The sequence below is a fragment of the Homo sapiens genome, chromosome 4 (genome assembly GCF_000001405.40).
Source record: "Homo sapiens chromosome 4, GRCh38.p14 Primary Assembly".
In the NCBI taxonomy this organism is placed as follows: Eukaryota; Metazoa; Chordata; class Mammalia; order Primates; family Hominidae; genus Homo; species Homo sapiens.
Genome location: NC_000004.12, coordinates 154727742 through 154754117, shown reverse-complemented (window position 1 = coordinate 154754117; position 26376 = coordinate 154727742). Strand labels below are relative to the sequence as shown.

The window sequence follows — 26376 nt, the reverse complement described above, 5'->3', positions numbered from 1 at the left end:
ATATCGTTGGATGGCTAAGCATCAAGCTCAGTAACCTCTATGGTCCTTGGCACTGCTATGAATGTATTTCAAGACTGGCCCTGGAATTTGCTTCTACTCACATCCCATCACCTCCTCACCCATAAATCTGGTTACAGTGTTCCCTCGATATCTTCAGAGGTTTGGCCCAGGACCCCCATGTACACCCAAATCCACACATAGTCAAGTCTGGCAGTCAGCCCTGCAGGAACTGGAACCCACATATACAGAAGTTGGCCCTCCCTATATAAGCAGGTTTCAGATCCTAGGAATACTTGGTTTTCTGTCCACATTTGGTTGAAAAATTTTGCACGTAAATGGACCCACCCAGTTAAAACCCATGTTGTCGCTGGGCCTGGTGGCTCACACCCATAATCCTAGTGCTTTTGGAGGCTTAGGTGGGAGGGTCAATTAAAGCCAGGAGTTCAAGACCAGCCCAGGCAACATAGCAAGACTCCATCTCTGCAAAAAAATTGAAAATTAGCTGGGCATTGTGGCATGCACCTGTAGTCCCAGCTACTTAGGAGGCTGAGGCAGGAGGAACGCTTGAGACCAGGAGTTTGAGATTACAGTGAGCTAGGATTGTGTCCCTACACTGCAGCCTGTAAGACAAAGAGAGACCCTGTCTCAAAAACAAAAACAAACAAAACTTGTTTTGCCCAAGGGTCAACTGTATAGAGTTCATATTATGACTAATTATTTGTTGTCATTGTTACTTAATTTTGTGCAATGGAGAAGGGATATGTTATTTAATATTACACAGAACCTATTCCTACACAATCAAGGTAGGCTTCAAGATATGGATAACATAGATATTATCAGTCTGAAGACAGATCCACATAAAGTTTTAACTTCAAATGCATAAAACTAAGTTTGGTAATCTGTAAAGGAAGATTGGAAAGACAAAATTCTTCAGGCTACCACGCTGAAAAAAAAAGTTTGTGATCTACATTTATGTATTTAAAATTTAAAGAGAGAATAGTATGTAAAATTAACTTTATTTGACATGCATGTATACCAAATATAAAATTAGCTTAGCTGACAGATCTAGGTTGGTTAAAACTCTAAATAGATCATACAAAACAAAGATTGGCAACCATTTCTTATATGCTTCTCATCTACAACAAGGACTTTTGCCATTGCCATAACTTGATATTGCTGGAAAACATTTTTGATATTTGACATTAACAGTATGAAGTAGAAAAATAGAAAAACAAGAAACATATATATACTGAAAAAAAATTCAAACAACAAGTCTATACATAGTTGCTTGTCCTTAGAAAGAAACATATCTAACAGAGCTAAAATTAGGAGTATCCAATATACACATAGTCATCAAGTTAATCTATTTTGCAAGAACCAACTTTCTGGCAGGAAAGAAAAGTGAATGAGTCTTCCTTGACACTCCATCAGGAGTTATGCATGAATCAAATAAAAGGATTTTGCTAAAGTCTGTTGACTCTTCCTAAACAACCTTTCTCTCTACTCTCACGAATACAGATCCTTTTTTTTTTAGAGATTGAGCATCTTAGCTAGTCCTTTAAAATGAGTTCCTTTGTTCTCCATACTTTTGGGATTTATCTTTCTGAACCCCAAATCTCGATTGCCTGTTCAAAAGTCTAAACTTCTTGTTCTATACAAGACTTGTACCAGACCATTGCTTTCCTTTTCTGACATCTTTACTCAGCACTCTGCTCTGCGCTGGCCCCTGAACCACTTGCACTTGCCTGAATGCCCTGTGCAGTTCCATGTTTTCAAGTCAACAACTCATAGGGTACCTCACAGCTATGTGCCAGGCATGTTGTAGGCAATTTTCATGCATTTGTTCATGCTATTTCCAGTGCATGGAATGTCCTGCCCAAAATCTGTTTCCTGGAAAATATCCACCCATCTTTCAAGTGTTGGTACATGGTTTGTATAAATTTGGTCATATCTGTCTGTCTCACTTTCTGTTCCTTCAGTCAGTCAGCTTTATGCAAATGTCAACTGCAGAAAGTCCTAATACAATTATGTCTACTGGGCCATAAACTCTGAGGAACAGGTCCATGCCTCATTCATCATTTCATCCCTAACACCTGCCTAGTATCTGACACTTACATTAATTCATCTTAGCCCCAATTAGTCCTATTCTTCTTTCATCTGTGACAAAGAATAAAATAAGCATGAAAAAACTTCATCAGACACTACTAGGTTATCATTTCAGAAATCAGAATAGAAATACATAAATATAAGAAACTTGCAGGAGCATAAGGATGAATCTTAATGGATGAAGCCCAGAGAATTCATGAACTTCCTCAAGTTACGAGACACATTAATGGCTCAGGGTTTCTTCTTCTTTTTTTTTTTTTTTTTTTTTTTTTTTTTTTGAGATGGAGTCTCACTTTGTTGCCCAGGCTGGAGTGCAGTGGCGCAATTTCCACTCACTGCAAGCTCCGCCTCCTCGGTTCACGCCATTCTCCTGCCTCAACCTCATGAGTAGCTGGGACTACAGGCGCCGGCCACCACGCCCAGCTAATTTTGTATTTTTAGTAGAGATGGGGTTTCACCGTGTTAGCCAGGATGGTCTCGATCTCCTGACCTTGTGATCCTCCCTCCTTGGCCTCCCAAAGTGCTGGGGTTACAGGCTTGAGCCACCGCGCCCGGCCTCAGGGTTTCTTTTATAACTGTGATCAGGAAGATGTGCTTTTCTTTCTACTTGGTTAAGCAACTAATCAAACTCAGCACAACAAAACAAAGATTCTCCTTTTCTCCCAAGAAGTTCAACAGTTCTAGCGTTGTAGAACATTTCACAAATAAAACCATCCTAGTTTCCTTTTCCCATAAACAGTTGAACACATCAGTGTGATAAGATCACCTCACACTATTTCTTGGCTTAATGCTAGCATTGCCTCCTGCATACAGATTTCTCTTACCCTTCTAGCAGATTTAATTGCTTCTTCCCCTGTATTCCCACAGCACTGTATATACTCTATTATAGCTAGTTTACGAATAATAATATTAATTCTGGACCATAAAATTGCAACTGGTCAATGCCTGGCATATAATGAACACTCAAATGAACAAGGAATTGAATCTTGCTTTAATGAAGTAAGTCAAGACTAATTATGTCAGTTCCAATCTTAAGAACGTCCTTGGCTTTTAATGAGGGGTCTTCATCTTTGAACACAGATTTAGTTTCAGACAGTGGTTTTTGCTGCCTGTAATAACTAAAGTTTGCAAAAAAATTAATTATTTGAGGACACTATATTTTTAAGAAATGAATTTCCTTAAACTATTCCTACAAGGGTAATATACAGTAAGTGAAAAACCACTAACACGGTAGTTCTCATAGTGGTTGCTTTTATGTATGCATACTTAAGATAATTTTAAGTGGTTAGAATAGGTCCAGAGAACACCTATATTCTATGGTGTTGCCATTTAATGTTTTAATTATTTAAAATACTTAAATAATTTAATATTTAATTTGAAAAATTAAATACTGAGTTTGTTGTGGGCAAATTAGTGGTGATAAAACATTATTAATCTAAAATCTGCTCTTAAAATTTGTTCAGATTATCATTGACTGATTGGCCCCGCCCTCCCCATATTCACTCATAATATGATTTGTTATTTTGTGATTCTTGACAGTTAAGAAAGCAATTTTAATACCTGAAATGCAAGTCTAGCTGTGGCTTCATTTTAAGAATTTGGTAATTTTGTAAAAGTGCTTGAATGCTTGTTTTACCATTGTTATATCTCAATTCTTATAAGACCCTCAGCAGAATCAATTTACATGACTGGCAGTACTAAGCCACTTTAAAATTATTTTAAATAATTTTATTTGCTTGGGTTCTACTTGTTTGGGTTTTACATACTACTGTGGCATCCTTCTTTTAAGGATATAAACTATAATTAGAAATGATATGGAAAAAAGTGACTAGAAAACAAATCTGAAGGCTTTTAAAAATTTCAGAGTACATTAGTAAATGCTTTAAAAGACAACCCATCCAATAACATATATGCAAGTTAACACTACAAATTCAATGACATAAGAAAATAGATTGGACTTACTTTTACATTCACCTCTACAGATACTCTATAATGAACACACTAGTATGATGATAATAAAGCAATCAAGAACAATTTATCTCTCAGTCTGTGTATATGTGACTATCTACATATTTATTTCACACACACATGCCAAATACCCACATAACTTCAATCCTATATCCATTTACCTCTCAGAGTGATTTAAAGTAGCCACAGTGGCACATAAAAGGAAAAAAATAATGAATTCCAGGCTTCCTAGTAAGTAAAGCCAAATCAAATTGTTCAAGTGATACTATAGTGCTATTTTTACAGGAAAACACAGATTTCTATAATTTCTGGTCATTTACTTCATCATTAAAGTACTATTTGCCAATATTGGTTTCACATAATGACAATAAAACATTCTTGACTTATATACTACATGAAAAAAATAGATTATGAGCTTATTTTTTGACCAGTCATCAAACATGTTTTCATTTGAATAAAGAAAATTCTTCCAGTTTAATATGTTTATCAATTTGTTTTTTCAATGAAACAAAGTAAATTTACAGTAAAGTTACTGGTCTCAATATAAGTCTTCCAATCTTCAAATTCAGCCGAACAGTACAAGGATTACAGGAGAAAAAAAAACACAATTAATCTCTTGTGGCTATCATTTTAGGGGCTGGTTTTCTCATATTGCTGAATTCTACCACACCCTGTCGTATTTCCAAGGTTTGGATGGTGCTTTAAATCTGAACTGCCTGAGAAGATTCAGAAAGCCTTTGTTCTTGGGCTTACACAGTAAGCACTTTGCGTGATTCCTAATCACATTTTTATCCAGAACACAGTGTTACGGGTCACATTTTTCTCAATAATGCTTATATTGATTGATGCTCTATAAATATAAACATATTTACATACAGAATACACACACTGACATGGGGGTATGAAGTTAGCCAGCCATCCATAGGAAGAATGGAATAAAAATTGCAGGAAGGGTAGTGTATGATACCAAGCCCGTACAGACTATAGACGCCAATCCCAAGACTGCTGAAGCAAGAACACTTCTCTGATCACGAATAATTATCTTCACAGTCTCACAAAACTGGAAAATAAAATATTGGAAAATTAGGAAAGGTGGCTAAACCCAAGAAGAATCACATATATCAAACAGTAAATCAGTTTTCCCAGCTATTTTCTGTCTACCAGAAGAACTAGACTTTTTCTTATGACTTACAAAAAAATTTACAATGTTAAGAGTCCAGTTCTGATTCTATACCGTATAGTAGCAGAAATGATCCCTTAGGCAACTAATAATGGCAGTTGCCTATGTAAATACAGCATTTATAGAAAACTATAGAAAGTATAACCACATGGTTATTCAGGACTAAAGGTTTAAAACATCAAACTGCTTATCAATAACAATAGCATATTTTAAAATTAGATGAGCAAAGAGGTGTCTCTAATCTTGAGTAAAAATAATAGAATTTGGCCAATTAAAAGTAGATTCAATTCCTCCAATCTGCCATTCTAAAATCTAATGATACCAATGATAACTTTTTTATAAGTCTCAAAATCTACAGGCATAGAAAGTCTAATTTTATTGTCAAATCCCATTTCCTGACTAAATATGCTAAATTCAGGATCAATTATGTGACACATAACTGGCTGCTGGAAAAAAAGACAAATATTGTCCTTACCCCTGAGGAATGCATCCTTCTAATATGTGTAATGTTTTCCTTAGAAAAATAATTTTACTTAGAAATGATGGCCTATGTCTGAGTCCTGGCTCCAGCTCTTATTGGCTATGTCACCTCAAGTAGTCAAATGGGAACACTCAAATTGTTCTGAGGATTAACTGAGATGTTTGATGCACAAGTCCTCTGTATTCTTCTACGTGCTGTATAAACATAAGGTATTACAGTGATTATTATTAGTACTCTATTTGTTGACAGTTATCTCTACCATATTGCCGTTGATGCCAGAATGCAGTGATTGTCAGTCATTTCTATATGGGTTTTGCTATTCATACTAATTTTAAGCTCTGTTTCTAGACATGGCATTTTATGTTCTTTTAGGGTTTTCTACAGTGGCTTACATGGTACTGGGCAGCTAGGTTTCCAAATTATTAAGTGATAGAATGAACAAGTTCAATATGTTTTAATACACCACTTTGACAGTATGGTTATCTCTATCCATACTTTTACACAATTACCTAAACAAGTGTGAAACTTATCTAGATGTTGGCCTATTTTTCTATCAGACATACTATTTGTCCTTTTTTAATAAACTAGCAAGGCATTGAGAAGTATACTATTTTAAGATGGTAAAGATCAAATTGAAGTTTTCAGGACAAGGAGAAAAGGAGGTTGATGGAAGACATATTTTTGTAAATGACTAAGTTGTAAATACAGTTATCCTTATTTTTTTCCTTGGTAATTTATAATTAAGTCAATCAGAATCATTTTCGACTGTATTTCCCACAAAAGCAGATTTTTCTCAAAAAGCAACTCATGTCTAATACCCTGTTCCTGTTCACTTGGTCAGCAGACCAGCAGGCATCTTTAGTGGTGCTCAACAGTAGGAAATTTCTAGAAGGGGTCAATAAGTCTGTAGGAACACTCTTGTGAGCACTCAATCCACACAAATTAAAAGGGGCATTTGCAATCATTTTTGGCAATGAAAGAGCAGTATTAACAAAGTAAAAAAAAATCATAGTAGAAAAAGCATAAGGAATAGTAATAGTTATTAACCAAAGGAATTTTTAGTTTACAAAATACTGATTGTCAACAGTATTATAAAAATCCCATTATTTTATGACTTCTAAACTTGTAAAATAGAGTGTTACCACAAAGGAGTAAATGTTCTTTTCCAGTTCATTCATTTGCAAACTAATTGCAGTGTTTTCCTTAGGGGTAGTGTGTTCTTGAGAGTTTTTATTAACTCAAATTTAAGTAAGAGGCAACTTTGTAACTCTCATGTTAATATTAGTTGCATATATGGAGAACTCAGCAATCAGACCCAGAATCAAATAATTTCTTATGTTTCTAAAAAGTAGAAACCAGTCCTTCCTTCAGTATTAATGACCTACTTCTCTCAGTGCATGTTCAAAAACAGTTTGTAGAATTAGGAAATTTGGGATGAAAACTTTTTTTTTTCCCCCGGGAAATCTACTCTGTGGCCAAATTGTTTGTTAGACCATTCAAAGTGAAGACAAAACTCAGTTTCACAAGAGGTGCTATGCAGCAACAGCAATTAAAACACTTCTCTACTTCTGTAGACCCTAACAAAGTTTCCAAAGATGAAAAACTACTCCAACTAGTTATTTATGCAGATTAAATATTTTACTACCTTACAAAAGCACTAGTTACTGTTTTTCTGTAGAAATATATAATGCAGCGCTATATGTGTTCCATGAAAGGGTAACTCCTAATTACCTGATAGAAATACTGTTTTTCCTTAGAGAAATGATTTGCTTGGTTCCTAAGTAAATCTGACATGTTTCCTTTTGTACACTTTGGGAGCCCGTGTTTGTAAATGTGGTGGAGTTCATTTCTAAACAGGCCTGGACTAGAGCTGTGATTCTTGAATCGCTGCACAGTGCTCTAACTGTATTTTTATTTTACTTGGAAAAGAATTCCTAGATTGAGTCTTTTGTGGCTCTATAAAATCTATAAGGAGTTTCATACACCGATCTATAAAAGCAAAATACTTCCATGCTCTCCCACAGAGGATAGAGAAAGATGTTCCCAAATGGGTCAAAAAAATTAACCAAGATGTGGAGCAATTAAAAACTGGTTACATGAAAAAAACTGACTTAGCTTTTTCTGGTCCCAAAAATATCTAAACATGAAGAGTAACACTAAAGCTCATATGTTATTGCCCAGGTTTCCATTATAAAGACTGAACATTAACAATGACTTCTTTAACAAGTGCAATGAAGGCTGAGAAAGTTTCCAATTGTAAGTGAAGTTTCAGGCTTAAAATCTTAACTATTTTTAAAAGTTAAGAGGTTTTAAAAGGAAATAAAAATCCATTTTTCCCTTTGGATTTGTGGCTAATTTAATAATCATGAGTATTTTTTCAAAATACTCATAAAAATTACCTTCCAATGTTTAACATCTCTTCTTGAAAACTAATTGTATTGATCTCTGGGGAACCCATAAACAATGTAATCTACCTTCAGGGCTAATGGGTAAAGGATGCTTAACAATGAAGTCTAGATGAGGATCAAAGCCAACCCAGAAAGAATTCAGAATACCATGGAAAATACAACTCTGAAGCACCAACACAAAGAATAAGGGAACTACCAGGGGGGCCCTCTTACTGGGAATTTTGATAGCTTATAGCAAGCAATGAAAAATCCCTCTATGCAGCTTTCAAAGGGAGAAAACTGCATGGTTCCTTATTTTAAAGGCACACACTTTGTTTATAGTGTTATGGATTAAATATAAACTCTGGACCTCTTCCTTTCAAGTGAAATTCTTGGTTAAAGTTGCAAGCAGCGGTGACTGATTCCTTGTATCCCCCACCCCCAGTCACTTGCCCTTTGTCGTTTGAACTACACTGTGGGTGGACACCTGATGACTTCTGCAGCAATACTGGGCAGCTCTGGAATCTCTGGAAGCGGTCCTGCATTGCCACATCCTTTCTCTAAGCATTTCGAGATATCCTGCAAGGCACGTTGCCATTTGCTTATTTACTTAGCCTACCTTAGGAACACCAGAACTTTCCTTACTTAATCTAGAACTTTAAGAATGTTATGGAAGGCCGGGCACGGTGGCTCACGCCTGTAATCCCAGCACTTTGGGATGCTGAGGCGGGAGGATCACGAGGTCAGGAGATCGGGACCATCCTTGCTAATACGGTGAAACCCCATCTCTACTAAAAATACAAAAATAAATTAGCCGGGCGTGGTGGCGGGTGCCTGTAGTCCCAGCTACTCAGGAGGCTGAGGCAGGAGAATGGCGTGAACTCTGGAGGCGGAGTTTGCAGTGAGTGGAGATCGCGCCACTGCACTCCAGCCTGAGCAACAGAGCGAGACTCCGTCTCAAAAAAAAAAAAAAAAAAAAAAAAAAAAAAGGAAAAAGAAAAAGGATGGTATGGAAGTGGTAGGGGAGGTGTCCAGGAATTAGATCCCTACTCGCGGGGAAGAGAAAAGGTCAGGGATGGGAGGGGGCATCTCCGCGGAGCCCACTTCCCCTGGGAGTCACACATCATACCTTGTCGGACTGGGGACTGATCGGGGTGCCATATCTGCAGTAGGTCACGAAGTGCTCGCAGTTGTTCCACAGCAGGCTGTAGGGGGTAAAGCCCAGCAGCTTTTCAGCCCTCCGCGCCACCTCCTCGTTGAGCAGTGCCTTTTTCTGGAGGGACTCGTCCAGGTGATTGACCAGGATGTTAGCTCCGTAGGCGAAGTCCTCCACTGTGTCCACGCGGATGCTGGCCACTTTGACAATAACGCCCAGGATGAGACGCTTGTTGGAGACCACCTTCTGCGTGCGCCCCATGTCGTCTGTCAGGGCCAACAGGATGTCGGGCATCATGTGGGCAACACGGTTGTCTCCTAGGTAGATGCCATAGTGGGTCAGGTGGGTCCGGGGCACCTCCAGCACGTCGCCTCGGTGGAAAGAGCTGGTTTCATAAAAACTGTTCCTCCCTTTGTCTTCGCCCGCGGCGCCCGAACTAAAGAGCGTGAAGTTGGAGATGAGGAGCAGCTTCTCCAGTAGTAAAGACACCACCTCCAGCATGGGGTTCTTCATCCTGCAGGGAAGAGGGCGTCTTGGAGAGGTGCCGGTGCCACTCCGGCAGGGGCCGGGCTGGGCAAGTTAAGCTCGCCGGGCAGGGGTGCTGCGCTGCTGCTCACCTGCAGGCCAGGTGAGGTACGGCGCAAAGTACGGCCGCTGAGGAGAGAGGAAGGCAAAGGAGGACAGCGAGGCCTGGCGACCGGCTCAGCCAAGCCACAATGGGGAATGAGACGGATAAGGAACCGGTGGCTGACGGCGGGGACAGTGAGACCAGTGCTACAAGCAGCCGGAGAAGGAGCGCACCTGGGGGCCGTGCCGGGGGCAGGGCCGCGCGCGGTGCTCGGAGGTGCAGGCTTCGCTGCGACTTTTTATGGCCGTCGAGGGGGCGGAGCCGAAGGCCGTCACAGACCCGGAAAGCTCACTGATTGGGCGCCGCTGGCGCGCTGCGCTAGCGGCGGGGAGGACGCGGGATCCCGGTTTCTTTGGGAGGGGGGCGGGCCGACTCCCAGCTCCAGGGTTCTGCACAGTGATTCTTTATCGCCGCGGGATCCCGGTTGCACTACTGGCTTTTAAGTGGCCTATTTAGGGAGGTAGAGTCCCAAGGTGTGGCGGCACGAAAGGTCCTGCACCTGTCGGGACTGGGGCGAGTTCCTGGCACTTCGCGGTAGTCTTCGGTGGAAAGTCCTCTTGGGAGAGATTTCTGAGTTGGACCACCTTCCTCTAAAAGGATAGATATGAGGGACTTCGGCTTAATAAAGAGATTGCATTTACTTTGCAAAGTGCGAGCGCCTCGAATGCCTGCAGATTCTTTCCTGACCGAATCTTTCGTTTTGTTTTGTTTTGTTTTGAGACAGTGCCTTGCTCTATCACCCAGAGCAGGAGGGCGGTGGCGCGATCTGGGCTCACTGCAACCTCCGCCTCCCAGGTTCAAGCGATTCTCGTGCCTCAGCCTCCCAAGTAGCTGATATTACAGGCACCACGCCTGGCTAATTTTTGTATTTTTAGTAGACACGGGGTCTCACCATGTTGGCCAGGCTGGTGTTGGCCAGGCTGGTCTCGAACTCCTGACCTCAAGTGATCCGCCCTTCTGGACCTCCCAAACCGCTGGGATTACAGGCGTGAGCCACCGCGCCCAGCCCCTCTTTTTTCAAATGCCCTGAATCCTCCATGCTTTCAGCCGGCGCGAGGGTGTGTGTGTAGGGCGGGGGGGGGGGGGTTGGGGGGGTCGCTACCCGCGAGTCCAGTCCCTGCGCGCCGGTGATTTGAACCCGAGGCCTCTCTGCGCTCCTAGGCACCTGTGGCCGTTGAGTACGAAGCTTCCAACGGTTGGCATGAAAAACGGCGGGGTCCCAACGCCCGCCAGGAAAGCAAGATTCATGTTAAGTTTATTTCTCCGGCTTCAGGGTCACATGGACCCAGCTTCAGTTCACCCACCGAAACTTTGTCCGCCTCCCTTTATTTTTATTTTTATTTTTATTTTTATGTTTTTAAGCATAACCTCCCGGAGACGGCCAAGGAAGGCGAAGTACTTGGATGAGATGCTAAGTTCTTTGCCCGTGCGCCTGCAGCCCGACTCCAATGCCTCCTCGAGGGTGGTCCTAGGGAGCTGCCGGGTGAGGGAGCCGCTGAAGCGTTGGCCGCGCCAGGCTTGGCACGCGATGTCCCCACCGGGTGCTGAGTTCCGTGCTAATGCATTATGTAAATGCTTAAATTCTGCAGACAAAGGCCACAATGGAGAGCCTCGGGTGGCTCCACAAAGCTGCCCAGTCGGCGCTAATAGGTTTCATCAGCAGATTCTACGCACGCCTGAGGGTACTCTGCGGATGATGGATGAAGGAACATTCATTTTACCTGGAAGACGAAGGGGGCCATAGAGACCAGGCGTGAGGGAAAACGGCTCCCCATTATCCTTGGAGGCCGGGCCTTTGCTGCCACCCTCAATCTGCCGTCAGCGATCTGTCCCCGTCTCCCTGCTTGCCGGTGACTTTTGTTCATTCACAAACGATTGCGCATCACATTATAGTCCCAGCAAAGAGGAGAAAACTCCCACAAACGAGTCGAAAGAGGAAGTTGGAGAAGGGGAGAGAGCCAGTGGACGTGGAGATTTTTTTATTTTCCCAGTTTACTCCCAAAATTTAAAGAAAAGCGCCCAGGTGGCGAGTTGCTGAAACTCATCAGCTGCGCACAGGGAGCTTGCTAGCCTCTAGCAGCACAGCAGTCAGCACCCTTCGCTAAAATCGGGGGAGTCTGATAGACCTCGGTGTGTACGTTCAATGCAGACCCGACCTCACACTCTGAACTGGCTCCTCTGGGCCAGTTCTGGGAAAGCGCCAATACCGAAGCCTCTTGTGTCACGGGCCAAAGGGCCCCTGGAGATGAAAGGAAACGTGATAATTAACGGTTTCCGTCCCTGGTGGTCACTAAGGCGGCTTATAATGCTTATGACTGCCTCCACCTGGGGAACTTGAGGGAGACAAAAGCATGGAGAATTGCTTCAGGGCTCCACATAGCTATATACATATATATGAATTCTTTTATGTATATAAAAATATATACATATGTATACATTTTATATACATGAAAGAATTAGCTATAGACTCAATAGCCTTGTCCCACCGCGTTTTGGAAGACGCAAGCAGTGCCAAGCTGATTTGCGTTTCATTTTTCTTTTTCCCCCGGTGGGGTCCACTTTCTGGCCGCCTTCTTGGGAAAGGGCTTTACTTCAAAAAGAAAGGAGGTGAGAGCGATACGAGGCATGAATCTGTATAGGTGGCTCAAGATGCAGATACTCTGCTGCCATGGAAATGAATAGGGCGCGGAGTGTCCATAGTTTCTTGAAGGATATTTTTGCCTCTGATAAATTCCAATTTTTTAAGCCAGAACGTTATGCCATTAAGTGATTTATTTTGCTCAGTGGAATTGCCTGAAAGTAACCCTCTCCTGCTGCTCTGCGTGCTAGGACTTCGGCTTCCGGAAGCGACAGCCCGAAGGAGGCAGTGAAAAGTCTTCATTTGCCTTGTTTCTGAAGTCTTCCCAGAACTCTTATGCGGGAAGCGGTTAGCGATGATTAGGCAGCTTTTCAACTGCAAAAATATAGCGTGGAATGAGCTCCTCTCTCGGCTGGACTTCTCCCCGCCCCCGACCCCCCTTCGTCAAGGACCATTGCAAATTTACTTTGCAAAAGGCAGCTTCTCAATGTTCTCAAAATCTCATCTATTTCTGTGGTTGAGAGGTCAGTTTTTAATGGCTCCCTGGAGGCACACTTCATAAAAATACGTTTACACACTAATAGGCTTATGCCCCCAATAATATTTTCCTACCTGCCTCAATTTTAGCTAAACAAAGGGAAGACTATAGCTGTAGGTGGAAAGGCCCAAGAGAAATCTAACATTAGTTCTTCTAAATCAGAAGATGTCACATGGAGATAGGAGAAATTCCTCTACCCTGAGTAGCTGGAGAGACCTCTGGTTTCCCGGACCGTTAAGAAAGGTGGCTACATTCTGTGATAACGTTCTGCGTGCAAACGCCTTAAATACATGCGAATGCGTCACCAGGTCTGGCGGCGAGATTTAGAAAGAGCCTGGACTTTCCTGGTCAACACTCAGACAGACTGTGCTGAGCGGTCGACTCCCACTTTGGCCACCGCTTCCCCTACCCGCCTGCAGAAGAAGGAATGACAGCTACAGTGTCCCCGCAGGGTGGTCGGCCCCGGGGCAGCGCCCTCGCACCTGCCGCGCTCAGGCCCACGTCCATTTCCCCCAGTAACGCATACAGGCCAAGCAAGATCCGCTTGGGTCTCAGCGCAGAAGAGGCCGAAATTGAGGCTCACAGGTCCCAGCTTACTTCTGCACCTCATCTTCCCACGGCTACCTCACCAGAGGTCCCTGGAGAGTTTCTGTTCTTAAGAACTAGGACAGGGAAGAGGTGCAGAGTTCCACAGAAACCTAACGCCCTAGAAGGCTAACAGATTTCCCACCTGCAGGCTTTTTATCTCTGGATGCCCCCTGCTCCTCAGAGAAGTCTTTGGATGGAAGATATGATCACAGTATTAGTAATAATAATAACTAATATTTACGGTGTGCTTCCTGTGTATTAGGCACTGAACTAAGCATTTTCTTATTTAATCCTCATAACCCTATGAGGTATTATCTCCATTTTACACAGGAAGAAATTGAAGCTTATAACTTCGTCTAGTCAGTGTGCTAATGTGTGGGGATCAGGACTCAACCACAGGTCTCTTTTGCCCCAGGTCCTTTACCGTCACTGGGAAGGCCTGCCTTTCCATCAGTCTAACCACCCATTACACATCATTTATTGAATACCTGCTATATGGCAGGTGCTATGACCAACCCTAGAGGTTCAATAAAACACCTCACCCTAAACTTAGATCCCACAATTTCTTTGTAATCTGTAATTAATTTCCCCTCTTCTCTCATGTCACGAGGTCTAATTTTTAACATCATTTTACTGGGATAGTGAGAATAGAGCTGGTTAAGGTTCTGATTAATAGTATGCCATCACTAGGAAGGCTACAAAATCCTACACCCTCCTTAGGGTGTAGGATGAATCTGGGGTGGGGAAGTTCAATGTCTTACCCAAGGGCACAGAGTCAGGAGCAGAATGCAGGCCCAGTGTTCCAGACTTCATTATCTCAGATTTTCTTTTACTTGAGCTCTAGGCCTGAGAAATTTGGTTTTCTAAACTGCATGTTTTAAAATTCTTGTCCTTCTTAGGGATTATTTTGTTGTTCTTGGATTTTTTTAGATTACTAAATCATTGGGCTATAAATAATGATAATCTTAACATTTGTTTTTTTCTTAGCTATCCATCTATATTCAGTTCTTTTACAAATGTCCAGGTCTGGTCCCCTGGACATAAATAGGGGCCCTAACTAGCTAACTCCAAAGGTGTGGGGAAAACAAAGTTGTTTGTGAACTTTGTTCTGACAGCAGAGGAAAAGAAGCAGACACTTCTCCATGGAGCCTCCTAACTCAGTGCTACATGCAGTGTTAGGCCAATAGGGATCAATTACCCCCTGGGAGGAGATTTTCCCTGGCTTCCTTCCTGGTGACTAGCATCTTATTATGAGGACCTCACTTTAGCCTATTGTCTTTAGAAAGATTAAAAGCTGCAGCTTCAGTTGGTTGTTTCTGTTGTTGTTGTCAATGCTGTTTTGTTGTTTTTGTTTGCCAACCATAAAATAAGAACATTGAACAAAACAAAGAATTTACATTTAGCATTATGAAGACTCCTAGCCCCAATTAATACAGCTTAATATAAAATTAACAACAGGTTGAGGCAGCTGTGATGCAGAGGTAGGAGGCAGAAAGGCAGAAATCCTGAGTTAAGGGCCTGGAAGTGCCATTTACAACAAAATAATCTCAGACAAGTCACTTGCCACCTCTGAGCCTCAATTCCGTCTTTCTAAAATGGAAATAATATCCAGAGGGCTATTTTGAGAATTAAACAGAATCAAATACATTGCAGTATTCTATGAAAATTCATAATGTGATGCATCATCTGCAATATTTGTATTATTCAGAGAAACAAAGTAAGGCAGAGGGGCTTTTCCATTTCTCGTTTGACAGCACAGTCATCCAAGAATGCAGTGTAGACAAAGGACATACCTTTACTCACAAACACGTTCTGAGGACTGGCACAGAGCCACAGGGGTGAGCAGGAAGCAGGCAAGTGTTTTGGAGTTGAGTAAAATGGACACAGTCAGTATGCAGCCAGCACACAGAGACTCACACTCAGGAGATTTGGGAGCTTTCTGAGAGCTCAGCTCCTCTGGCTGTTCACCAATGAAGTGGTTTATAATCATAAAAACAAAGACTAAAACCTGGCATTTGTTCAAAAATGCCTCTCACAAAGCAGAAAACACCCCAAATGTCTATTTCAGAAATGATAAAATGATATCAAGAAATGAGTAAAACATTTGATATGCCCACAAAACATAAAGCATATTCCACTTTTAAATAGAAACAATAAACAGCAAGGCATGTTACTTCTGAGTCACTTGGAAGAAATATAGCAGCTACTTTATAAGTTAATCTTGTTTGCTTTAGATCCTAATTTATTATTATGAGACAATAATAGATATGAATATTGGATGACCCAGGATTGTTAACAAAAGGAAATATGACTATAGCCTTTGGCTACGTATTCAGAAATTCAGAAGAAAGCTGCAGTGCCACTGTATTCATATAGGAAATGTACTGAGAAATTGGGTATTGCTATCATCAAACAGACCAGCATTGAGAAGCATCAGTACTACCAACTACCACAGCAGCAATGAATGTTGCTATTATATTTCAAAAATCCTAAATAGGTAGACATTTTAGAGACATGAAGACAAATAACTTTTAATGTCATGCTTTGCTTTAAATACTCATATCTGATGCTCTGTGAGATTGCTGACCCTCTTGAGGCCTCAGAGCCCTCATGTGTATAGTGTCCTGCCTGTGCTAGACTGGAATGAGATGCTCTCTAAACCCCTCCAAGGGTTCATGGAGCACCGGGCCTACAAAAATCAAATTACTCAGGCCCTTCAGAGTGTCTTAACTGCTAGTCAATTTTCAGGGGAGTAATTATAAGAAAAAGAAGATCAATCACTGTCTAGTACTTAGAAAACCTAATAGGATCCATAATAACTGTTTTAAAAGGAAAAAAGAAGTCATTCATACTGCAGTAAAGGAGTAATTCCATAGCAAAACAAGAAGAGATTGAGCAGGAGTTTGGCAGCAATTGGTGTTGAAAATCAATGGCTCCTTTAATAATGTATCTTCAATTGCAGAGAAATTTTAAGTGACATAGGCACACTATCTCATCAATGATTTGTAGCAATACTTATTGTTGATATGTTTTTTGAAAATACAATGTCTAATATCTAAAGTTAATCTGAAAGGTCAGTGTACCATTCTGGTCTTTTGTAGTTACATTTACTTTTTCAAATGTTTAAAAATTTTTTAGTTCAAAGTAACAATTGTACAGTATCATGGGGTACATAGTGATGTTTTGATACATATCATGCATAGTGATCAGATCAGGGTAATTAGCATATCCATCATCTCAAACATTTATCATTTATTTGTGTTGAGAACACTCAACATCCTCCTTCTAGCTATTTGAAACTACATAATATTATTAACTATAGTCATCCTACAGTGTTATAAATATACTCTTATCTCACACCATGCTAAAAATTCAATGTAGTTCAACTGAAGCTGATTCATACCTAAAAGTCTCATACAACTATAGAAAAAAAAATGGATTTTTGTCTCCAACTTCTTAATTGGGAGAACTCCAAGTGGGCAGCTCTCTTAAGAACCAAGCTGCCTGTGTTTGCCTCTGTAGGTACAAACTACACACTTGACTTAAGTACACTTATTTTTATCCTGGTTTCCCTCTACAGTGACTTGCCTTTAAGTCAGATTACGTAGAATTACTTTCATTTTATTAACATCCAGACTTTACTCATAAAGAATGTGAGTGGAACTGAAATTGGATCACATAGGATTAATTTTTTAAAATTCAGTAACCTTTTCTTTCTTTCTTTTTTTTTTTTGATGGAGTCTCACTCTGCCACCAGGCTGGAGGGCAGTGGCATGATCTCGGCTCACTGCAACATCTGCCTTCTGGGTTCAAGCAATTCTCCTGCCTCAGCTTCCCGTGTAGCTGGGACTACAGGCATACGCCACCATGCCCAGCTAATTTTCGTATTTTTAGTAGAGACAGGGTTTCACCATGTTGGCCAGGATGGCCTCAATCTCTTGACCTTGTGATCCGCCTGCCTCGGCCTCCAAAAGTGCTGGGATTACAGGCGTGAGCCACAGTGCCAACCCAACCTTTTTCTTTAAAGATAAATTAAAAACCTATAAAGTTTTTAATCTACATAGCAGTTTAAACCAGAAATCACAGGCATTTTTAAAGTTCACCTAGTTTAACTTTCAAAAAGAATAATCTAGAATATTTGCCCTTTGGTCATAATTATTTCATGTTGTAACATACATTACACTTGTTCTTTTGCATCTGTCATTCTTTTATCTCATTTAATTCTAGGGTGTTGGAATCCGGAAGGGAGGGCTCTAGTTTTTTTCTGTGATATCCTCTAAGGACATTGTATTAGTCCGTTTTCGCATGTTTGATAAAGACATACCCAAGACTAGGCAATTTACAAAGGAAGAGATTTAATTGGACTTACAGTTCCACATATCTGGGGAAGCCTCACAATCATGGTGGAAGGCAAGGAGGAGCAAGTCATGTCTTACATGAATGACAGCAGGCAAAGACAGAGAACTTGTGCAGCAGAACTCCTGTTTTTAAAACCATCAGATCTCGTGAGACTTATTCACTATCACAAGAACAACATGGGAACGACTTGCCCCCATGATTCAATTACCTCCCACTGTGTCCCTCCCACAACACTTGGGAATTCAAGATTAGATTTGGGTGGGGACACAGCCAAACCATATCAGATATTATTATGATGGGTCTAATTGTCAGAGGCCAAATGGCATCTCAAAAATCATCCCTGAATACCTTAGAACCTAGGAAATCAGGGTCACAATCAGCAGGGAGAGTGACCTGGGGTCTCTTAGATCATGAGTTTTATCCAACTGTGACCTGCCTCCTGCAGAAGAGCAAGTAACCAAACCAATAATGCTGTGAACCTCAGGGTGCCAGGCCACACTCAGCAGGTCCTTACCTATAGAGGGGTCTGTAGAGGATGGCCCTGGAACCAGGTCCAAAGGTTTAGCCAGACTTAGAAATCCTCTAGATTGTTATTAGATTTCCTCCTTTTAGTCCTGTGTCACCCAGAATATTGGCACAACCTACTTCATGATTCTAAGCAAATCAGTTGAACTCTTTGTGCCCTGGTCCACTCATCACAGAAAAAGCAATAGATACTATCCATTACTCCCCTGCTGGTGACTCTCATCGTCAATTCAGCTTCTGAACCTTCCTGGAATTCAATCTAGTGATAGCTGTAGATGGTCATTCTCACATCTCACTGCCAAGTCCAGTATAAGATGACAAAGTCCAAACTCTCTTTCTGTTTCCTTAAATTATGTCTCCTCTTACATTTGTTTTTATTTCTTTTGAAAGGGACTGGATTTTCTTGTATGTCTTTTAGGGCTGCACCATTTGGTTTCCAAATAACAATTCTTCTATTTTTCATCTTTTTTAAAAAAAGTACGTGGTGCTTAATTATAATTTAACCAAGTATTTTGCTTTATAGGTGAAATTATAGAAATCTTGAAGATTTCTCTCTACTCGTTTATGAATCCTCCAATGTAAAATGTCTAGCAGAGGTTTATTCTTTTTTCAGAAAACCAAATTCAAGAAGAATAAAGAGTAATTACTGATATTACAAAAGAAAGATTAATTGTCAAGAAGCTATTTTAATTATGTGCTTTACCAAAAATGTGACTTTATATAACTCATTTTAGCAATATTATCTAGAAATGGATCTTCCTTGAGTAAGGCAACATATTCATAAGAATGTGTTCTGAGTTCACAGTGGGCATTCAATAAAGTTTTTGCTTACAATTTTATCTAACAGTTATATTGTAAGTTACACTTATTTGGATTAGTTAAGAATTTTAACTCTCTTGGCTTATATTCCATAATTATTCCTATTTAAAATTTACATTTATTACCTTGGGTAAGTAGTCATCTCTCCAATTCAAAGTCCCTTTTGACTCAAAACTTCTACACTTCTTTGAGAAAGTCAAAAGCAATACATATTTTATTTAACTATTTTAAAATTACAAATTATGTATAAAAATTATATCAATAAAACATTCCCATATTTACATAGCCAAATAGATTTAAACGTACTGACATAAATTTATCTGTTCCTGAAAACACATGTGTTGTTGCTACCAAATAAGGAAGACAAAAGGGTAGGCTGGGACAGCACACTACAAATGGAAAAAGTGTGGGATGATGGTTAAGAATGTCTACTCTGTAGCTAACTTGCCTGGATTCAAATCCTGGCTCTTCTACTTCCTAGCTTTGTGACCTTTGGCAAGTTACTTAACTACTCTGTCTCAGTTACCTCCTCTCTAAGGTGAGGATGATGATAAAGATGAAGCCTACCTCATAAGGTTGTTATAAGGATTAAATGAATTAATATGTATGTATTACAAAAGCAGCACTTAGTAAGAACTCAAGAAATGATGGCTATGTATATTTTTCTTCTAGAATACATAAAGCAATCTCTTCATTGCCTATAACTCTCATGTAAATTTGGAAAAGGTGACAAAGAGCCGTAGGGCAGTAGGAAATTCTGTAAATGGGGATGGGAGAATTCTAGGCTTGAATCCACTTCAACAGGTATTTATTGAACATTTAGTCTCAAGTTCCATGTGGACATTCCAAAACACAGCAATGAATGAAATGCAGTCCCCTCCCTAATAGAACACAGAGCCTGGTAAGGAGGAAACAGACCTCAATAAACTTTCATAATTCTGTGTGATGTGTTGGAAAAGGATCATGCACTAAAGGTGAGAAATTCATCTACTTGGGGTAGGGAATGTGAGAGAATGAGTAGCTCCTAAGCAGTACCATGAGGAGTCAGAGTTTGTTAGATCTACAGGGGTAGGCATGTGGGTACCAAGAGGGCAGGCAAAGGAAGCAGCATGAACAAAGATGAGATTTAAATAGTCCAGCTCAACTAGAATATAGGACTTATACCTCTCTACGGGTAGAGGTCAAATCCACACTGGGAGCTTGTGGGGCCCGGGTTGTGAAGGGCCTCCTGTGCCATGTGGGGAGCTCAGACTTTATTCTGTAGGTAATCAATAGCCATGAGGGACATTCAAGAAGGGGAATGATGTGATCCAAAGCAACTGTGGAGCAGAGACCAATTAAAAGGTCACTTAGTAGTCCAGGGAAAAGATGAAAAGGGGCCAGATTAAGGTAATGGAAAACAAGATGGAGGAGCACGTAAAAAAGTTAAAGATATTTTTGGTGACCAACTGGATGTAGTGGTGGTGGCAGAAGTGGGAAGAAGAATAAAATGGAACCAGGGATGACTCTGGGCAAAGAGTGAAACCCTTCATAGGAATGGGGAAGGTAGGAGAAAAAGCAGGTTTTACAGGAGGAACAAATGAGTTCACTCTCGGACATGTTGAGTTTCAGGAGTCTATGGCTTTTCAAGTTGGGATGTTAAGTAGGTGGATACATAGATTAAACAAGATCTCTGGAGAGAAGTATGGCCATAGGATACAGATTTGGGAGTCAGAAGTGTGTGGGTGCTACTACTTTGGAGTAGACAAAACTGCCCAGGGATAACACATAGAACGTGGTGAGAAGGCAGCCAGGATAGAGCCCTGCATAAAGGGAAGGCAGCACTAAGGAGTCAGCCAAGATGCTGGGGAAGGAATGAGAGGTAGGAGATGGCCAGGCCGAACAAAGTCTTATTAGGAGAGGCATGTTCAGTCGTGTCAAACAAAGAGGAGTTAGCAAGAGCGTCAAGAGACCATTTGATTAGGCAATAAGGAAGGCACTAGTGTGAAAATAGTTTCATGAGTACCTGACTGCTGAGGGTTGAGGGAGTGAGAGTTAGGCCAAGGGAAGGGCTAGGCAAAGAACAGACAAGCTTTTCTAAAGGTTTTGCAGTAAAGAAAATGAGAAATAGAGGATAAAATGGAAAATATTTTTTATTGTTATTTGCTTTTTCAATTTTCACTTTTTACATTTTTTATGGTTTTTTTTATTGCTATTTTTTTGAGATGGGGTCTCTCTGTGTTACCCAGGCTGGAGTGCAGTGGCACAATCTCGACTCACTGCAGCCTCGACTTCCCAGGCTCAGGTGATCCTCCCACTTCAGTCTTCCAAGTAGCTGGGACTACAAGCATGCATAACCAGGTATTTTTTTTTTCTTTTGTAGAGACAGGATCTTACTATGTTTCCCCAGCTGGTCACAAATGCCTAAGCTCAAGCAATTTTCCTGCCTTTGGCCTCCCAAAGTGCTGGGAGGTGTTACAGGTGTGAGCCACTGCACCTGGCCTACTTTTAATTTTTAAATTTGTTTTAAATGGAGAACACAGGAGGATATTTGTACATAAAAGGAGACTCAATGGAGAAGAAAAACACAGCTAAATAAATAAATAAATAAATGATGGAAATCAGTCCAGAGGAGGTGGGAAGCCATGGGATCAAAACTGCAGATGGAAGTTAGAACTGATGAGGAGGAAGGACTTCTGTTCCTCTGAGACAGGAAAGGAGGAAGGAGATTAAGAAGTGTAGCTCCAGAAACATTTGGAAGTGAAGTCAAAAAGGGTTTGTTCCTACCCACTTTAGTTTGTAAAGTAGATTCTGAAGAAGTAAAATCCTAAACCCAACCAGTTGGTGAGGTCATCTACCAGCCCATGTAGATGACTCAAAGCTTGATGTAACCAGGAAATTTATGGAAGTTATTGATGTGTAATAAATTGACAGAGTGACAGTAGTAGGTCATTTGCTTATATTACAAATCTTCATGAAAAACAAGTTTTAATTCTATTCCTATTTAGAGCATTAATAATTGTAGAAAATTTTACATACATGTTCCCAAAAGCTTGATCTTTCTTTCTCCTAGTTTGTTATAACAGTAAGTTCTCCCTTAGTGCTGTCAATCTTCAGTATCAAACTAGGCATGTGGCAGGATGCTGGTGAGAGAATCATATTAATGATAGACACTAGGAAAATTTAGGCTCAGAGTAATTTGTTAAAATTTGTAATCACATTTTTATTGCATAAAATCACTGTAATATCATTATCATAGTATGTACTATAGAAGAGAAAATATGTGTAGTTAATTGAAAGTGGTTAAATGTCCTCTGGGCTAAAATGCAAAAAATTTTATAGCAAACCTTGAATTTAATTTGAGCTCAAAGTATTAGGTCACTGTACCATTCATTTTTTAAACTCTGACTGAGATAGATAAAATATTCAGATTTCTCCATTTCTCCAAATTTAGTACAAGAATCTTATGAAAGCATTAAAATTGTGTAAGTAATTGTTAGATTGCTTCTTATACAAAAAATATTTATACATTATATGTATAATGTATACAATGTAATGTAAGCTTATAATAATGTATTTGTAATGTAATCTTATACATGCAAATTGCTTGTAGTAAATAATAAGATGTCTGCACATTTAAAAAGAAGAGTAAGATACTCTTAAATGAGGACAAGAATAGTACAGCTTGGATTTGGGCATCAGAGAAAGATACTCTAAACGTGAATATATTAAACAAATCACAGTTTATCAAAGTTTTTAAGTATATGCTTTACAGAAAAAAGAACATCTTCATCGAATGCCTATAGGAGATATATATATGTGTGTGTGTGTATATATATGTATATATGTATATATATGTGTATATATATATGTGTATATACATATATGGGACAAGAAGACATATATATATCATATATATATGAGACAAGAAGATATATATACATATACATATATATGTATATATATACCAGTCTTCTTGTCTCGTATGTTATATATTTGGTGAGATAGTTGGTCTACATTTGTTAAAAATTACCTACTCCCTTCCACATTCCAATGACCACATTGTTAATGCTGGTATTCAGTCTATCACGCTGGTGTTTATTTATACTGCCTATCTTGTGTATTCTTTTATCTGGGATTCAATTTTGCATTTGTCCTAAGAATAAGTTTTCTAAAGCTGAAGCTCTTTTGTCCATCCACTAATGACTTTAAATTAGAAATATCTTTGATCTGGAAGTCCAGTACCATTTGCCCAATATTTTGCTTTGATGCACAAAATAGAACATTACTGGGTGTTTTGAGCATTCTATTATTAGAATTATTATCTTTCAGGTCACACATTCTTAACAGTGACTCCTATTTAAATGCTCTGGGTAAATGAGATTGTATTTGATACAATGATAATAAGTACATTTCAAAAATGCATACTAAGGAACAGTAAAATACATTATTTGGTAGACAAATTCTATGTGGAAAAAAATTTTACAAATTAATGTATGCAAAAAGAAGCAGTTCCTGAATTAGAAACTCTTCATTTACAGGAATGAACTAGTTACAAGAAAATGCAAAAACTAGGGATTACCACAAACAGGGAAAAATAAACAAATATCTAAGTAAATTGAACATATAAAGGAACTGAAATATATATATTTTTGCTCGTGATTGACCTTATAATCTTCTGAAGTAATATCTTTTCCTGCTCATGATTCACCCTAATTTTAATTTCATCAATGATGCCTGCAGGTTATCTGCTGAAACAAGAAGCATAGCTGAAGAATGTGAGCTGTTTTAACAAACTTTACAATTATTTGCTTATCAAATGACTATAGCTTAAAATGACTTCATTATCTTTAGATGATTCAAATAATAGATTAAGAGCAGAACTACAGAAGAGCTGAACTGAGGATATCTTAGGTAGTTCTGGACTTTAAGATCTTGAATGAATAAAATTATTTCAGTGCTTTCTTATGTGTTTAATTTGAGATATTGATAAAGTATGTGATGTGGAAAGAAATATGAGAGAGATGGAGGAGTATAAAGTACATTCATTTTTAAAAAAATTAATTTAAGGCAAGTTCTGAGAATGTTTTTCATACATTAGGCACCTAAGGATCACTTTAGGGAGCTTATTTAAAAAGCAGATTCCTGGGTCTCACAATCAGTTTCCAATGGAGTAGGTATGGGGTGGAGTCAGGAATCTTCATTCTAATCAGCACCCCAGTTGATTCCAAGGCAGGCAATACTCACACTTTGAGAAACACTGTTACTGAGGCTGGTTCTTACAATTTTGTCAAACCTCAGGTCATTGCCACAAGGTAATGGGGCCCAGTGAGATCGATGGTATAGTCCTGAAGGTAAGGCAGTCCCCGTCACATATTCATGAGAACCTAAGAGATACTCCTACTAAATAAGACATTGTTACTATGCATTTATTAAAAATTATATAGCCACCACCAATTGTCAATTATAATTAAGAAGAGCTAAATATAGCAAGGTTTCAAAATCATTTGCAAATGTTAAGGCTAAGTGATACAATGGACTGAGCTAAAGTACTGATTTTATTTCCTTCTTAGGATGACCCAGGCACATGTCAACCCACTTCCATAGTATCTGACTTTAGCTGACTCTGGACCATATATTAATAAGATAATAACTTTCTTTGCCTCAAATAATGATTCATCTTAATCTATAGAATACTAAATAATCTTTAGCTTTAAAATTAAGTCATTTATGAGCACACACACACACACACGCGAAGTTAAATGTAAAGGCACTATGTTTTCTCTTGTGCTCTATGATCTTCAAATCCTCTAAAACAACACTCATTAAAATAAAGACAATTATGTTTCACTAAGAAGCTATCAAAAATGATTTCACTCCTATTTTATCCCTAATTCTATACTCTGTGTTATAATGAGTTTCGTGTTATAATGCATATACCTAGGGTCCTGTTTCATAGAATGTGTTGATAACAGCCTGACATCAACAACACACGAAAGAAAAAAGCACAGAATAGAAAATGTTCAATGCTTAGACGCTCACCTGTGGATCACTTCTCAGTGATCGGCATCAAGGGGATTTTTCAAAACGAAGTTTAGTGCATATGTTGCCAGCAATTCTTATCTACAGAAGAAAAGATGAATTAGAACATATTTTACCAAATACAAGGACTGCTAAAGGAAGTATATACTTCTGAGTAAACCCCACAAGTCGTCAGCCTTATCATGGCCATTAAAAATTAAGCTAGGAGGTTTAGATGTAAATATGTGTATAAATAGACATTTTACCTAAGAATGCAATGAGTCAAACAACAAGATTGAATTCACCAGAAGAGGAAGACTTTTTTTCCTTTTTCCTTTAAATTTTGACATCATTACAGATGATCCATAGCATTTGCAACAATTGTGTGAGGAATTCTCATATATTCTTTACCCAGATTTTCCAAATCTTGTTTTATTCTTCCCTTTGTGTGTATGTGCATACATGTATATACATATACAAATATATGGCTTTTTCTGAACTATTTGAGAAAGGGTCAGATATAATGCCCCTTTACCCTTAAATTCTTCAATATATGTTTCCTAAAAATAAAAATATTCTCTTACATATCATAGTATAATTATCAAAATCAGAACATTTAACACGTACAAAATTACCTAATCTACAGGCTTATTCAGAATTTGCCAACTATCCCAGTAATGTCCTTTAAAGCAAAAGTAAATTCTAAATTATGCATCGCAATCAGTTGTTATGTCTTGCTAGTCTCCTTTGATGTAGAATGATTAATTACTCAATCTGTCTTTCTTTTATGACATTCACATTTGGAGGAATACAGGCATGCTATTTTGTAAAATATCCAGCAATTAGTATTATTCTCATTTTTCCTCATGATTAGATCCAGGTTATTAATTTTGGGCAGGAATGTCACAGGAGTGATGGTGTTTCATTTTCAAAGCATGATATCAGTAGGCAAGTGATGTTGATTTGTTCCTGACATCTGGGATCTGAGAATACCACGGTAACCTTGGTGTTGCTAGGAGATACACTGGCACTCACAGCTGAGACTTGAAGTTCTTTTGTTGAA

At 39.4% G+C, this 26376-nt stretch overlaps 1 protein-coding gene and 1 long non-coding RNA gene across 5 annotated transcripts in view, besides 3 other annotated features; both read right to left on the bottom strand.

Annotated features, from left to right (window-relative positions):
• LRAT (lecithin retinol acyltransferase) lies at positions 998-13280 on the bottom strand. 3 transcript variants are annotated; one of them, NM_001301645.2, is made up of 3 exons: positions 13220-13280; positions 9252-9792; positions 998-5134 (listed from the first exon to the last, which is right to left on the bottom strand). In NM_001301645.2, exons 2-3 carry the CDS (start codon positions 9789-9791, stop codon positions 4982-4984), a joined length of 693 nt encoding a protein of 230 aa, NP_001288574.1. In that variant the 5' UTR covers position 9792; positions 13220-13280; the 3' UTR covers positions 998-4981. The 3 variants fall into 3 exon arrangements, with proteins under 3 accessions (NP_001288574.1, NP_004735.2, XP_047272361.1); NM_004744.5 differs by lacking the exon at positions 13220-13280 and adding an exon at positions 9896-10118; XM_047416405.1 differs by lacking the exons at positions 998-5134; positions 13220-13280 and adding exons at positions 5736-5929; positions 9896-10118.
• Positions 10767-11279: an enhancer, noted in NCBI's record as "OCT4-NANOG-H3K27ac-H3K4me1 hESC enhancer chr4:155663991-155664503 (GRCh37/hg19 assembly coordinates)". NCBI's record gives its function as "activates a minimal SCP1, AML or CMV promoter by ChIP-STARR-seq in primed H9 embryonic stem cells {active_cell/tissue: H9 hESC(primed)}" and the evidence as "EXISTENCE:reporter gene assay evidence [ECO:0000049][PMID:30033119]".
• Positions 11280-11791: an enhancer, noted in NCBI's record as "OCT4-NANOG-H3K27ac-H3K4me1 hESC enhancer chr4:155663479-155663990 (GRCh37/hg19 assembly coordinates)". NCBI's record gives its function as "activates a minimal SCP1, AML or CMV promoter by ChIP-STARR-seq in primed H9 embryonic stem cells {active_cell/tissue: H9 hESC(primed)}" and the evidence as "EXISTENCE:reporter gene assay evidence [ECO:0000049][PMID:30033119]".
• Positions 11792-12305: an enhancer, noted in NCBI's record as "NANOG-H3K27ac-H3K4me1 hESC enhancer chr4:155662965-155663478 (GRCh37/hg19 assembly coordinates)". NCBI's record gives its function as "activates a minimal SCP1, AML or CMV promoter by ChIP-STARR-seq in naive and primed H9 embryonic stem cells {active_cell/tissue: H9 hESC(naive and primed)}" and the evidence as "EXISTENCE:reporter gene assay evidence [ECO:0000049][PMID:30033119]".
• The window catches only part of LOC124900169 (uncharacterized), a 109752-nt gene continuing 101358 nt past the window's right edge, over positions 17983-26376 (bottom strand). The window contains exons 3-6 of one of the 2 annotated variants that reach the window (XR_007058343.1): positions 25335-25415; positions 24540-24692; positions 22332-22435; positions 17983-18091 (exon numbers count right to left, since the gene is read on the bottom strand). This is a non-coding gene — a long non-coding RNA (uncharacterized LOC124900169). Of the gene's footprint in view, positions 18092-22331; positions 25416-26376 lie in introns of both variants that reach the window. The other variant, XR_007058337.1, reaches the window with a different exon arrangement.

Bases quoted from the DNA above. Each gene is read 5' to 3' on its own strand.
- LRAT (NM_001301645.2), bottom strand. From the start codon at position 9,791: ATGAAGAACCCCATGCTGGAGGTGGTGTCTTTACTACTGGAGAAGCTG. The intron at 5,135-9,251 runs GTATGATGTGTG...TTTATTTTCCAG, and splicing joins TCAGTCCCCAGTCCGACAAG to TTTTGTGAGACTGTGAAGAT.